General features: G+C 41.9%; 1 protein-coding gene and 1 pseudogene across 8 annotated transcripts in view; both read right to left on the bottom strand.

Moving 5' to 3' along the window:
- ECT2L (epithelial cell transforming 2 like) overlaps positions 1–15,715 on the bottom strand; it is a 107,984-nt gene that overhangs the window by 68,247 nt on the left and 24,022 nt on the right. The window lies entirely within an intron of this gene.
- ACKR4P1 (ACKR4 pseudogene 1) lies at positions 11,261–13,117 on the bottom strand (annotated as a pseudogene).

Genomic DNA, 15,715 nt, shown 5'->3' with positions numbered 1-15,715 from the left:
GGTGATTATAAAGGACATTGCTGGAGCAATCAGGAATATGGGAATGGAGTCTGCAGGGTGGATGTAGTATTGTATCAGTGCTGATTTCCTGGTAATGCTGGATGTACTTTGATTTTTCAGCAGTGTGTCCTTGTGTTTTAGGAAACACACATTGACACACTTAAGGTAATGGGCATCATGTTCGTAATTTACTCTCAAGTGATTCTAAATAATAAGGCAAAAATGGTAAAATGTTAGCTATTAAACTGTTAACTATTTTTTTTTTTTTTTTTGAGACAGGGCCTGGCTCTGTCACCCAGGCTGGAGGGCAGTGGCGCAATCTCAGTTCACTGCAACCTCTGCCTCCCGGCCTCAAGCAATCCTCCCACCTCAGCCTCCCAAATTGCTGGGGACTCCAGGCATGCACCACCATACCCGGCTAATTTTTTTGTATTTTTAATGGAGATGTGGTTTCACTATGTTGCCCAGGTTGGTTTTGAACTCTTAAGCTCAAGCGATCCGCCTGCCTTGGCCTCCCAAAGTGCTGGGATTACAGGCTTGAGCCACTGCGCCTGGCCATAACTATTAAAATGTTAACTAAATGAGGAAGTCCAGGTGAAAGGGATAAAGACATTATTTGTACTATTCTTGCAACTTTTCTGTAAGTTAAAAATTATTGCAAAATGAAAAGTTTTTTTTAAGTGGCTAAAATTTTTTTTTTAAGTTTGCTTCAGTTCCAAGTTTTAACGATTTATTTTCTGTGTTCTTCCTCCCCTGGCCTTAAGTCACTGCTGTTTTTTTGATCCCTGTCCATGTAGCCTTGTCACATCCTGAGACAAAACAGAGTGGCGTAAAATGAACCTGTTGGCAGGCCGTTGTGAGGAAAGAGACAGAGAGAGAGAATGAGAGTGTGTGTGTGTGTGTGTGTGTGTGTGTGTGTGTGTGTGTGTAAACGGGGGCAAAGAATGGAGCCGGGCCTGTACTGGTAGCATGTAGTATCCACAGACAGAAGTGTCACTTGAGGATCTTGTCAGTATCAACAATAAAGCACAGGTAATAACTGTCATTTCCTTAGAGATTAACATTCAAGCTGAACAAGACTGTGACAATGCCAAGAACAGTTAATTTCTAATGAATTACTGTCCTCATTGCCTGAGTTAGACTTCAGGATCATTTTGCTAGCCTTTGAGATAAGTTTTACTCTCATTTACTTGGAATTATAAAATACAGTAATAAAATAAGAGGCAAAACAGAGATGTTTCCGGCCTCCTTTCCAAAGAAGGGTCTCAGTATCTTTAGATTTTCATGTCTACTACCTTCCCACCTCACAGCATCTATTGTTCCATCCCAGCAGAGCAAAGGAGAATTGAATATGAATTACTTCCAAAAGTAAACCTTGGTTATACATGTTTTATATTTGTTCCTATTCTATGCTGCTACAAGGACACGTTTGAGTATAATGAATCTTAAGAAGAAAGAAAAATGCTTCCGTCACATTAAAAAAAAATACATGATCAGCAGAACTAAGGTAGGGTAGTTTGTAGTAATGACATTGCAGGGCTCATCACATTTTAGTTAATGTTGCAAAGTAAGAAATCTGTGAAGAGAAATAACAACATGTAAGGAGACAGTGAAAAAATGTGTTTTGCTCATTTATTGTGACGAGGATGGTGTCATTTAAATAATTCATGATAATGCTTTGCAGTGTGCCACTGAATGTACAATGTGTACTTTGCAAAAATAACAAAGCTTAGTAATGTGGGACTTGAATTTAATTATCTGCTCTTAAATTTCTGATAAGAAGTAGAAGCTGCCAAAATTGTGATGAAAATGACTAGGAGAACAGCTTGGAGAGAGGCCTGTGGAGGGGAGAGTGGATTTGGCAGAGGTCCCTGTTTTCTGGTTGCCTAGGTAGCACCTCTAAGCCTTGTCGGGTGGCTTCTTTACAAACACTTTTATGGCTTGGTCAGGGTCTGGGTGCTGTTCATACCCCAGTTTCAGTCCCTGGTGCATTTTTTTTTAATTATTTATTTATTTATTTTTGAGCTGGAGTCTTGCTCTGTCACCCAGGCTGGAGTACTGTGGCGTGATCTCTGCTCACTGCAACCTCCACCTTCTGGATTCAAGCGATTCTCCTGTCTCAGCCTCCTGAGCAGCTGGGATTACAGGTGCATGCCACCAAGCCCGGCTAATTTTTGTATTTTAGTGAAGACAGGGTTTCGTCACGTTGGCCAGGCTGGTCTCAAACTCCTGACCTCAGGTGATCCTCTGGTGCATGTTTTAATGGGGCCAAAAGGAGATGACACAAGGGCAAGGGGAACCATAGGCATCTGTGCAACTCCTGAGTTGCATGAAAAGGAAGACAAGTTGGTAAGTGACAAATACCGATGGCCGTACAAATGTGCTTTTGGATCCAACAATTCGTCTTCTAGGGGTTTTTCCTAAAACAATGATTAAAGATATGTCTAAGGATTTAGCTAAAGGATGTTCCTCTAAGTGTTGTTTTTAGTAGCAAAAGCTGGGGGAAACAAGTTAAATGTCTGAGATAAGTTATGGCATATCTATAAAATCTAATCTTCCTAGAAATCAGTAGACTGAGCTGAAAGGGGAATCTATGTGATATGGTTTGGCTTTATGTCCCCACCCATATCTCATCTCCAATTTTAATCTCCATAATCCCCACATGTCAAGGGAGGGACCTGGTGGTGGGTGAGTGGATCATGGAGGTGGTTTCCCCCACGCTGTTCTTGTGATAGTGAGTTCTCATGAGATCCAATGTTTTATTGGCGTTTGACAGTTCCTCCTTTTCTCTCTCTCTCTCGCCTGCCGCCAGGTAAGATGTGCCTGCTTCCCCTTCCACCGTGATTGTAAGTTTCCTGAGGCCCCCCAACCCATGCAGAACTCTGAGCCAATTAATGCTTTTATATTTATAAATTACCCAGTCTCAGGCAGTTCTTTATAGCAGTGTGAAATGGACTAATATGCTATGAACTAATTTCAAACAGCTAAAAGCACTGGGATTATGAAGCATAATCTCTTCAAATGGAAGAGTAATGAAAAAAGAAATCAGCAAGTTATAAATTAAAAAAAAAACAACAAAAAAACACAAGGACACTAAATGGGAGCTGAAATTGAGAAATTCACAGAAGAATTGGGCCCAGTCTTGATGAGTAGTGCTAGGCTTTCCTACTGACAGGAGTCCAGACCTTGCAGGGAAGAAGCAAGGAAGCACACCTTCTCCTGGGCTGCTAAAGGAAAGGGAGACCTGGGGGAAATCAGAACAGGCCTGTACCTTGCATGGGCTTAAGTCCATATTAAATCTCCTGGCACATTAGAGACCCTGAGCTACCATAGAAACATAAACGCTGGTGAGAAAATAAGAAACCCAAGGGGTTCCTGGAGAGGAAGATACATATGTGAACCATCCCATGTGCCTCCACAACCCAGGGCAGTTATCCTCCCTTTGGAAAATAACCTCAGACTAAAACACCATGAGGGAAGGCCAGCAAATGAAACAAACAAGGGATCCGTCATCTCCAGAACTGAAGGTAATGAAAGAATCCAAGAGATTTTAACATAAACATGCTGAAAATATTCAAAGAGAAATCAAGGTAATAATAGGAGTGAATGTTTGAAATGTTCATTTGGAAAAAAAAAAAACAGACATTTGAAGTAAAAAATATATAGTTTTTGAAATTAAGAGAAAACTGAGTAAGTTGGATAATAAACTTGAAACCAAAGGAGGGAAAACTAGAGAATCTTAAGCAAAATCTGGACCATTGAATATTATAAAGTCATTTAAAATGATAAAAAAAATTGAAGACATTTCACTTAGTTTCATGCACTATTATCCATAGGAGAGTTTCATGCAGCATACAAAGTTCCTGAAATATCTGGTAAATTTTATATCTATGCATATATATGTCTTTCCTGGGGGGAAGATTTATAGTTTTTGGTGTAATTTGAATATCTCTTCTCAAAGGAATACATGATCTAAAATTGTTTAATTAAATTGGTATGTGCATGTTTACTGTGATTGTACAGTTCACGGATTCACTTATTAAATCAACATTATTTTGAATCCCTTCTTACATTCTGCGGTTTTAATGAGACAAAGAAAAATGACACAATTCCTGCCTTTATGGAGCCTACAGTATGGTTAGGGACAGCACCAATTTTTAAAAAAATCTAATAAATAAAGGTGAAATTACAACTGTAGTTAATCTTCTGAAGAAAAAGTACATGTGTGGAAAGGCTTCCCTGCGGGAGCTAAGTGGGTTAAAGGCAACTGGGAGAAGAAGGCAGTGGAGGTAGAAGAGCCTCCTAGGTAGATGGCAATGTCAAGGGCAAAGGCAGCATCCCTGAGGAGCTGGATGAAGGTGAGTTGGGCTGAAGCACCAGGAACTATGGAGAAAGAGGGAAGAGGGGAAGCTGAAGGGGTGGTTAGAGCCATATCCCTGCAGGGCCTTGGATGCCATGTTAAAGGTTACAATTTTTTAAACTAAAACTTTTAAACAGGGGCATGATGACATGGTCTCAGTGCCATTTGAGAAGCCAACACTGACTGCACAGGGAGAGAGTCCAGAATGATGGGGAGACCAATTAGAAGGCCATGGCCATAGCCATAGCCCAGGCCAGAAATAATGGTAGGTTGGCCTAAGCTGGTATTGATAGAGATGTAGAAAATTGAACACATGAGAGATATTGGGGGTAAATTGATAAGTGGTGATTAGATGAGTCTTGGGTTTCTAACTTTTGAAACTGGATGGCTGGTGGTACCATTAAAATAGAGAATATAGTCACATTGTGCTTACGACGATTGTATATACTTGGACATGTTGGTTTTGGGGTGTTCTCAAGACATTCAAAATTAAATATCAAGTAAGCAGCTGGATATATAATTAGGAACTCAAAGGCAATGTCTGGGCCAAAGATAAAAATGGCCTGATCACTGTTAGAGAAATATTAAATAAAAGCCTGGGTATGGATCAAGTGCTCTACACAGAGAGCACAGAGTGAAAAGAGAAGCAGAGTTCCCACAGGCTGGAGGAATGCCCACATTTAACGACATGTAGAGGATTTGTCATTAAACAACATGGAAAGGACAGGACCGAGAGGTAGGAGGAAGCCAGATTAATCTTCTGTCATGGCATCCACAGGAAGATTGTCATTTCGAGGAGTGAGTACTTGTTCATACCGAAAACTGCAGAGAGGACAAGCAAGATAACCGAAAAAAATCCAAGAGTCCTTTGGAGGCAGCTATACGGACTTAAAAGGGCAAAAACCAGTTTAGGATGGGGTGAGTAGTGAGTTGAAACTGGGGATCTGGGGACAGTCCCTGCAGATGACTCTAGAGCAGGGGTATGGCCTGTGGACTATATCCATTCGTTTTTGACATCCCTTTTTGCAAAATGTTACTGGAACACAGCCACACCCATTGACTCACATATTGCCTGTGGTGGCCTTCATACTGCATCGGTAAAGCTAAGTCGTTGAAGCAGGGATCACAGGGCCCACAAGGCCTAAGATTGTTGCTATCTGGCCGTTTAGAAAAAGCTTGTCCACCCCTGTTGTGCAGAGATTTGGAGGGAGGGAACAGAGCACAGAACACAGTGGTAGAAGCTAGATTTTTCTTAATATACCTTGTTTTCTAGATGTGACTTCTGTAACCATATGTCTTTTAATATTATCAAACAAAATTGGATTTGATAAAAGCAATCCCTAAAATTCAAAAGCAAAACAAAACAAACTTAATTGTGTGTTGAATTAGTTGAATAGCCATACAGATTGGGATTATTCCATTCTAAAACACAGAAATTTAGGCTGGGCGCGGTGGCTCACGCCTGTAATCCCAGCACTTTGGGAGGCCGAGGTTGGCAGATCGCTTCAGGACAGGAGTTTGAGACCAGCCTGGCTAACATGGTGAAACCCCATCTCTACTAAAAATACAAAAAATTAGCCGGGCATGGTGGCGAGCGCCTGTAATCCTAGCTACTCTGGAGGCTGAGGTGGGAGAGTCGCTGGAACCCGGGAGGCGGAGGTTGCAGTGAACTGAGATCGTGCCACTGCACTCCAGCCTGGGAAACAGAGTGAGACTCTGTCTCAAAAAAAAAGGAAAAAAAAACCAAAAACACAGAAATTTGACTCTATGTCCCTAAATGTGGCATACCTTAAGGACAACAAGAACTGCAAAAATTATTTTTAACTGATTTCAGTAATGATATAGGGAGTGGTAGTGATGGTTTTGTTGTTTTGGGAATGTTGTGCATGTATTATTATGGAACAAAGAAAATGAGTAATAACGTCATTGGGAACCAAGATTTCCTGTGTGAAATCCTATGTGAATTTCCTGTGTGAAAGAGATATGGATGCAATACAGAAGGGTTCAATACAAATCCTGTTGACTTGAATTTGAATTGAGAGTATGGATCCGAACTCTTGATGCATTGTAACTTTTCTTTAAAGTTATTTTTAGTTCTGTGTACTAAAAATTCCTAGAAACTATGAACAACCTTATAAGATACTTATAAGAGTGCTCTATTACGGCAATACCTAATACCAAATATTTCCCACCGAAAGGAAACAGGGCTCCTTGGGGAAATGGTATCCCAAGTCTGAGGCAGGAAAAGGACAAGACGAGCGCAGAAGGTTTTCTCACACCAGAAAGAAAAGAAATTATTAGAAACTAACAGGTGTGGTGGCTCACGCCCTGTAATCCCAGTACTTTGGTAGGCCAAGGTGGGAGGATAATTTGAGGCCAGGAGTTCGAGACCACGCTGGGCAACATAGTGAGACTCCCATCTCTACAAAAAAAAAAAAAAATTTTAAACTTAGCCAGCGCCTTAGCCTGAGTGACAGAGTGAGACCCTGTCTCAAAATAAAAAAAGAAGAGAAATTAACATGTCAAAAGAACTCAAGAGTTATCTTGAGGAGGCTCCCCTGGCCAGGAACAACACAATTTGAATACCAACAAGAAAATAACTGAAATGGATTGAAACATAAGATACTTAAGTTCATGAGTTTATAATACTACAAAGAACTCAGTGATCAATTTTGGAGGATGACATAAATCCAAGCTATTGGTTAGAAAATTGGTAAATAAAATCAACATGTGTCTTTCCTGTATGAACTCTACCTCGGGAAAGCAAGTCATTAAGGAGGGAAAGTTTCTCTTTATAGAAGTATGCTAACTAGTAAACAGAAAAGGAATGACGAGGTAGTATGTCAACATTTTGCAACCCCTAATGAAACAGTGGACCCACGGGAAGATTGTCAATGGCAGCTAACAGCACACACAAAAACCACTGGAACTCGCCAGCTTCTGAAGGAAGAATAAAACACCACCTTTGAAGTATTCTTATGAAAAAAATCAAACCTGACTTTCATCAGGCCCCAAACTACCAGTTTTCAGGAAAAGGGGAGGCAGAAGGTTACAATCAGCAAAATGCAGACTGTGGGAAACCCTACAAGACAAGGGAGAAAAGAAAAAGGGTGAGGGGAGAAAACCTATACATTGAAAGAAATCTAGAAGTCATATTAATCAATTGCAATGTATGAACCTTATTGGGTCCTGAGATAAATAAATTATTTTAAAAGTAAGAAGTTATGAGGTCATTGAGGAAAATTGATTACTGACTAAACATTTGATAATAAGAGATTATTAATTTTTTCAGGCTGATAATGCAGTTGTGATTATATTTTTAAAAATAGTCCTTTATAACACAGGAAGGGGAACATCACACACCAGGGCCTGTCATGCGGTGGGGGGAGGGATAGCATTAGGAGATATACCTAATGTAAATGACGAGTTAATGGGTGCAGCACACCAACATGGCGCATGTATACATATGTAACCTGCACGTTGTGCACATGTACCCTAGAACTTAAAGTATAAAAAAAAAATAGTCCTTTATAAAAAAGTTATGTCCTGGAATATTAAAGTAAGAAATGACATGATATCTAGAGTTTGCTTTAAAATAATCCAGGGGGCTGGGCGTGGTGTCTTATGCCTGTAATCCTAGCACTTTGGGAATCCGAGGCTGGTGGATCACTGAGGTCAGGAGTTTGAAACCAGTCTGGCCAACATGGTGAAACCCCGTCTCTACTAAAAATATAAAAATTAGCTGGGTGTGGTGGCATGCACCTGTAATCCCAGCTACTTGGGAGGCTCAGAGGCAGGAGGACTGCTTGAACCTGGGAGGTGGAGGTTGCAGTGAGCCAAGATTGTGCGGCTGCACTCCAGCCCGGGGAACAGAGTGAGACTCCATCTCAAAAAACAACAAAACAAATAATAACCCAGGGTATAAAGGGTGGTTACAACTTTGGGAAAATAGATGAAATAATGTGAACCATGAGCTGATCATTGTTAAAAATGGGTGCTGAATATACCGGGGTCCCTTATATTGTTTGTATATGTGTTAGGCCCTTCTTGTGTTGCTATAAAGAAATACCTGAGACTGGGTAGTTTTTTTTTTCTGTTTTTTGTTTTGTTTTGTTTGAGACAGAGTCTCACCCTGTTGCCCAGGTTGGAGTGCAATGGCACGATCTCAGCTCACTACAACCTCCACCTCCCAGATTCAAGAGATTCTCCTGCGTCAGCCTCCAGAGTAGCTGGGATTACAGGCATGCGCCACCACACCTGGCTAATTTTTTGTATCTTTAGTAGAGACAGGGTTTCACCATGTTGGCCAGGCTGGTCTTGAACTCCTGACCTCATGATCCGCCCACGTTGGCCTCCCAAAGTGCTGGGATTACAGGTATGAACCACCGCACCTGGCTGAGACTTGGTAGTTTATAAAGAGGAGAGGTTTAATTGGCTTATGGTTCTGCAGGCTTTATAGGAAGCATGGTGCTGGCATCTGCTTGGTTTTCTCAGGAGGCCTCAGGGAACTTCCAATCATGGTGGAAGGTGAAGGGGAAGCAGGCACATCACATGAAGAAAGCAGGAGCAAGAGAGTGAGACAGTGGGGGATGGGTGGAGGTGCCACACACTTTTAAATGACCAGATCTCTCAGGAACTCACTATCACGAAGACAGCACCAAACCATGAGGGATCTGCCCCCCGTGACCCAAACACCTCCCGCCAGATCTCACCTTCAGTATTGGGGATTACAAGTCAACATGAGATTTGGGTGGGAACTAATATCCAAACTCAATCAGTGTAGTTTGGTTTTCTTTTTTTTGAGATGGAGTGTCTGTTGCCTAGGCTGGAGTGCTATAATGCAATCTCGGCTCACTGCAATCTCTGCCTCCTGGGTTCAAGAGGTTCTCCTGCCTCAGCCTCCCAAATTACAGACAACTGCCACAACACCCAGCTGAGTTTTGTATTTTTAGTAGAGTCAAGGTTTCACCATGTTGGCCAGGCTGGTCTCAACTCTTGACCTCCCGCCTCGGCCTCCCAAAGCGCTGGAATTTCAGGTATGAGCCATCGTGCTTGGTCTATATCATTATAGTTTTAATTAAACTTGAATTTTCCCAAAATAAAGAAAAAATAATTTCTAGTAAACAATCTACCTTGCTGTTGGCTTTCTCCAGTAATTCTTAGTGGCTGGTATGTATGTTGGGGGGAAATTTAAAAGTTCAAGTATTCAGACTAGGATTTTGGAATTTGAATGTGATAAAAATCCAGAGCAAGAGAGCTGAGAGAATTGGAATATGAATTACTAACATGGCAGGCCATGGCCTCTAAGTGGGGTGATCAGGCAAGTTAAGTACCAAGGAAAGGGCTGATTGATAGAGAGCAGAGGAGCCTGTGGACTGGAAGGTCAGTGAGTGGAACAGCGATCAAGACGGGGATAGCTGAACAGGCGAACTGGGCGAAGAGGGAATGCTTCCATCAGTGACTCTGGATTGACTGTAATGCATTTATTGTGGGAGTCGTTGACTAAGGCAGGGGGAGAAAAAATTCATTTTGGGCGATAAGTTCAACTGGGTGTTCAGAGTGTGAAGTGGGTTTTCCTCATGAATGCCAGTGTCACACAGACTAATGACTGGGCTTGGGATATAAAGGAAATGAAGAAGCATGTGCTAAAGTCTTCAGAGGACTAGAGAGCAAAACTAGATATGGGTAAAGCAATAAGGAGAGTGACTGAAGTTTCTTTAAGAAAAAAAATTCTGGCTAATTGGTCTAATCGGATCCATATATAGTCATACGAATGCACAGAAGTGTAAAAAGGCTGTATATGGGTGGTGGATTATTGGTGATTGGTATTTCCCTCTTTTTGCTTATCTGTATTCTTTTCTTTTCTTTTCTTTTCTTTTTTTAGACGGAGTCCTGCTCTGTCGCCCAGGCTGGAGTGCAATTGCACGATCTCAGCTCACTGTGACCTCTGCCTCCTGTGTTCAAGTGAATCTCCTGCCTCAGCCTCTCCAGCAGCTGGGATTACAGGTGCCCCCCCACCACACCTGGCTAGTATTTTTGTATTTTTAGTAGAAGCAGGGTTTCACCATGTTGGCCAGGCTGGTCTCGAACTCCTGACCTCAAGTGATCCACCCGCCTCAGCCTCCCAAAGCGCTGGGATTACAGGCATGAGCCACCGCGCTCGGCATTATATGTATTTTCTAATGCTTCTACAAAAGCCTGGTATTGGTATTGAGCAGGCAAAGAAGAACCAAGGCTCTCACACATGCTGTCCCATCCAGATAGAACAGTCATTCTCTGAGTCTTTGCTTGTCTGACTCCTACTCATCCTTCAGACTCCAGCGTAAATATCCCATCCTGAGGGCAGCTTTCCCTGACCGTCTGGCCTAGGTGAGGTCCCATTACTTTTCCTTTGTCACTTCTCACAGTCATAGCTACTTCTTTGTTATGTCAGGCTGGCCAGGCCGGCCTTGGATCATGGGAAATGACGCATAATGCATGCACACACACATACTGTTGCTGCCTAATTGCAGTTTGACTTCCTGTGTGTTCATAATAACTTAGGGCCAATGAGTTGATGTGGTTCCGGGGGGTGGAGCCAGAAGTAGCTGGAACGAGTATCGTGGGTTAGAGTCCTGTGGCTGGTGAAAGCTATTTTGGCAACAACACAGGCAACCAGATCAGGTGATGATAGTGGAGTTTTAGAGTGACATGTCTGGGGTACGGCGAGAATCTCCCCATCTCCTCAACAACCATTCCTGCTGCCCAAACACGTCCCTATGGGAGGCTGACTGACACTGAGCACTCCTGCTTAATGCCGTCTCATAACCTTTGCTGAAACCTGTGTCCTTTACACTTGATGTGCATTACAGTGTAATCTAAGCACTGTTTTGTGTTTTTTTTGTTTTTGTTTTTTGTTTTTTTTTATAGTTTTTTTTTTTTTATTGCTTTTTTGGAGGAGGTGGATTTTATAAAATTACTTACAAATTTAAAAAAAACAGGAAAAAAGATAGTTGGAGTTCTGCTGCATACTTATTCAAGTACTAAAATTATGCAGGGAAATCGTTCTTGTATTAAAACTTAGATAATTAAAAATAATTATAAATGCCTTTTAACATGAACCTCTTTAATAATCTGTTTTAGATGGCCTAACTTATAGCATAGTGGGTTTTTTTTTAACTTCTTTTATTTTGAAATTATTATAAATTCACAGGAAGTTACAAAGATGGTACAGAGTGGTCCTGGGTACCCTTCACCCAGTTTTCCCCAATGGTTCCATCTTACATAATTATACTATAATGTCAAAACCAGGAAATTGAAATTGGTACAATGTGTGTATACAGTTCTGTGTCATTTTATCACTTGAGTAGATTTGTATAAGCACCACTGCAACCAAGATACAAAATTATCACCACAAAGCTCTTCTTCGTTACAGCAGAGTGTTATTCACTTATGCCTGTTACAATTATTTTCCTATATTGTTCATTTTAATTTTCATGTTTTGTACATTTATTATCTTGTTTCCTCTTCTTGGCTTTTATTTCTCCCCCTTCCCCCAACCCATTCTTTATTATAAGTTGCAACCACGGCGTCTGAGATTTGAGTTTCAGAATAATGCAGATGTTTTATTTGAGGGGAAAGCATCATTCATATGTATCCAAGCAAAAGGCAGAGCAGTTTTACCTTTAAATGCTAAAAGTACTGGTTGGCTCTGTAGGACCCTCAGAATCAAAAGGAAACTCCTCCACACTTTGTCTCTGTCTTCTCCAGGACCCATATTTCTTGGCCACTTTCATAACGTAGTTTTTGAAAGATGCTCCCATAAAAACATAAAGGATTGGGTTGAGGCAGCTGTGAAAGAGTGCAATGCTTTCTGTGACTTGGATGGCGATGTCCATGCGTTTGCTCATGTTGCAGCTGGTGATCAGGGAGTAGATGATGTCTATGGCTCGGCAGAACTTGACAATGTTATAAGGCAGTTGAGTGACAATGAAAACTATAACGACTGTGAGCAGAACTTTTAGGGGTCGAGATATTTTAATGTTTGGCATCTTCATGAGTGTCCTTGCCGTGATAAAGTAGCACACCCCCATAATAAGAAAGGGTACTACAAATCCAATGCAGATCTCTAGCATTTGAATCAATGCTTTCATTGATGTTCCTAGGTAGCGGGGGAAAATGGGAATGCACCTAGCATTGTCATTTACTGTATAAAAAACCAGCTGGGGTATGCTCAGCAAGATGGCAGCCATCCAGACACAGAAACAGATGATCCAGCATGGTTTTCCCACTCCTGATTGGCTGGGGACATTAGTTACTGCCACATATCTGTCTATGCTGATGCAAGCCAGAAACTGCATTCCAGAGACAAAGTTTAGTGTGTACAAGGCTGAAGTTATTTTGCACATTATTTTCCCTAAAACCCACCCATGAACTGCATTAACAGCCCAAAAAGGCAGAGTGAATAGAAGGAGTAAATCTGCTACAGCCAAATTCAGGATGTACACATCTGTTTTGGTTCTCTGTTTCTTGTAATAGGCATAAATTGCCACTACCATGGAATTGCCTGCAAGTCCAATGACGAAAGCTATTGTGAGGAATACAGGGAGGAAAACTTTTGCAAATTCTCTGACATCTTCTTTGATACAGATCAATTCATATTGACTGTAGTCATAAGTGCCATTCATTTCATTTTCCTCATAATAATAATCTGTTGACTGGTTCTGTTCCAAAGCCATGGCTCCAATCTCAGATGGAAATGCAGAAATCACCCGTCTTCTGCGTCGCTCACGCTGGGAGCTGTAGACCGGAGCTGTTCCTATTCGGCCATCTTGGCTCCTCCAGCTGTTTTGTGTTTTTATTCTTGCTGACCCAGTCCTTTTTCAGACTCCACCATTTTTATTTGTTTGTTTGTTTATTTATTTATTTATGACAGGGTCTCTGGCTCTGTTGCCCAGGCTGGACTGTAATGGTATAATCTCGGTTCACTGCAACCTCCACCTCCCAGGCTCAAGCAATTCCCCTGCGTCAGCCTCCTAAGTAGCTGGGACCACAGGCACACGCCACAGCACCCAGCTAATTTTTGTATTTTTTAGTAGACACAGGGTTTCACCATGTTGCCCAGGCTGGTCTTGAACTCCTAAGCTCAAGTGATCCGCCGACCTCAGCCTCCCAAAATGCTAAGCTTACAGGCGCGTGAGCCACTGCGCCCGGCCTCCTTCCCCATGTAATGTCTGTCTCTATTACTGTTTTGTTCACTGCTCTGTCCCTGGCAACTGGCAGAGTGCTTGCAGCATGGCTGGGGCTAAATAAATGTGTATAAACTAAAATAATAAATGAAAAAAGAATAAACGTTGAAAAATAGAAAAAGCAAATCACTGCTTGTATTAGTTTCTTGTTGCTGCTCTAACAAATTTGTAAACAAAGCTACCACAAATGTAGTGGCTTAAAGCAGCACAGACTGATCTTCTTACGGTTCTGGAGGTCAGAAGTCTGAAGTCATTTTCTCTGGGCTACAGTCAGTCCCTGTGTCTTTTCCTGCTCCTGGCAGCTGCCTGCCTTCCTTGGCTCATGTCCTCTTCCTCCGTCTTCAAACCCAGCAGTGGAGCCTCTTCGGCCTCCCCATCAAGGGGCTAGAAGCTTTGATGTCTGGCTGCTTCCAGGGTTCACCCTTTTTCTATTTTAGTTTTATTCTACTAGAATATAAACTGCAGTGGGCAGGCCCTTTTCCGCTCTGCTCACTGTTGAGTCCCATGCACTCAGAACTGTGCTTGGTCCATGGTAGGCACTCAGTCAATATTTGTTCAATGCTAAATGAAGAAACTAGCTTTTGTCATGCTTCATTTACTTACCCTTATGTAGGTGAAATAACCCTAATTTCTATCTGGCGGTGCACACAATTCTAAAGCTGACACCACAGCTCTGAAAAGCACATGATCAAGGTACAGGCCAATCCCCTGGCCACAGCAAGTGGCCAGAAGTGGGCATGGGCCTAAACGAGTCTAATCAGAGTAAAGCCCAAACAAATGTTTTTTTTTTTCTTCTGGACACATCTGAGGGAATGGAAGGAGAAAGCCATGGCTACAGAGGCAGAACAGAGGCGCAGGAAGAAAGAAGCCATTGGTTTCACTACGGAAGCACTGCAAGAAGCTTCAGCTGCAGGAAGACCCATATCTGGAGTTTTCAATGATGTGAGAACAAACTATTTCCTTCATTATTCACATCAAGTTCGGGCTGCCTGGAGTGAAACACATTCTAAAGCCAGTAGGTAGCATCACAAGTGCAAAATGAAAAAGGCACCCACAGAACTGGGACAAATTTTGTTTCATTGCACTGAGACTAGAAGGGACGAGACAGCTCATGTGGTCTGTGTTCCTGCCTTCAAGGAGGAGTAGAATCAAGAAATGGAAGAAGCCTTGGGGCTTTCAGGTCACCCACGCCTGTGTCTGACCCTTGGCTGTACACCAGATCACCTGGGGAACTTTGTAAAAACAGCTTCCTCCACCCCATTCCATTGCGTTGAGCCAAAATCTCTAGGGGTGAGGCTCATTATCTGTTTCACAAACTCCAAGTGATTCTGAGGGACCATCCCTTAACAACTGTGAACTTTCCTTTGGTAGAAGGAAGCAGCATAGCAGATCCTAATGCTAATGCCGACATCAAATTCAAAGCACTGAATGTGTGTATCATGGTCTTAGAAGTATGTATAACTCATTTCTGAATCACTTTATTGAAGACCCAAATTAATTAAATACTTAGACTATGCATGAGAGTCTGAAGGCCTTTCTCCTGTGTGTAAAAGGAATCTGTTTCACTGCTAATTGCTTTTTGTTTTTTCCTTCCTGTTTCTCAGATAAAATTTGGAGAGTTGAGATGACCAGAGAAGTGACTACTAGATAAATGGACTGTTATGGACCATTTTCAACCTATTTTTCTTCCTTTCACTGTAAACAATTAACGGCAGCTTCAGATTTAGCAAATTCAAGGAATCAATGATGTTATCAAGGGCCAAGGATTTTTTATATTTTCACTTTGCCATCCTCAACCATTTACTTTGGTCCTCGGGCTTGTCCCAAAATAGTTCTCAAATGACTAACTGCAGTGAGCATTGGTCTTCACACAACAGTCACCACAGCTAGCAGGATGGAAGAAAAGACGTTCATCCTCAAATCTTGTTTAAGTTTCTTTCAGCAAGAAGAAGACTCTCCACCCTTATGTCTCCCTGGGCAGAATTAATATCTACACGCCCTTTCCTAAAGCAGACACCATCCAGGGGAGGCAGTGATCATGATGAATTTAGTCCAACCCTGACCCACCCTTGGTAGGGTGGGGGTTACTTACCAGCCACTCCTGAAGCATAGAATGCCTTGTAGGGGG

The sequence above is a fragment of the Homo sapiens genome, chromosome 6, assembly GCF_000001405.40.
Source record: "Homo sapiens chromosome 6, GRCh38.p14 Primary Assembly".
Classification (NCBI taxonomy): domain Eukaryota; kingdom Metazoa; phylum Chordata; class Mammalia; order Primates; family Hominidae; genus Homo; species Homo sapiens.
The sequence above is the reverse complement of the archived record's forward strand: the minus strand, read 5'-3'. Positions and strand labels throughout refer to the sequence as shown.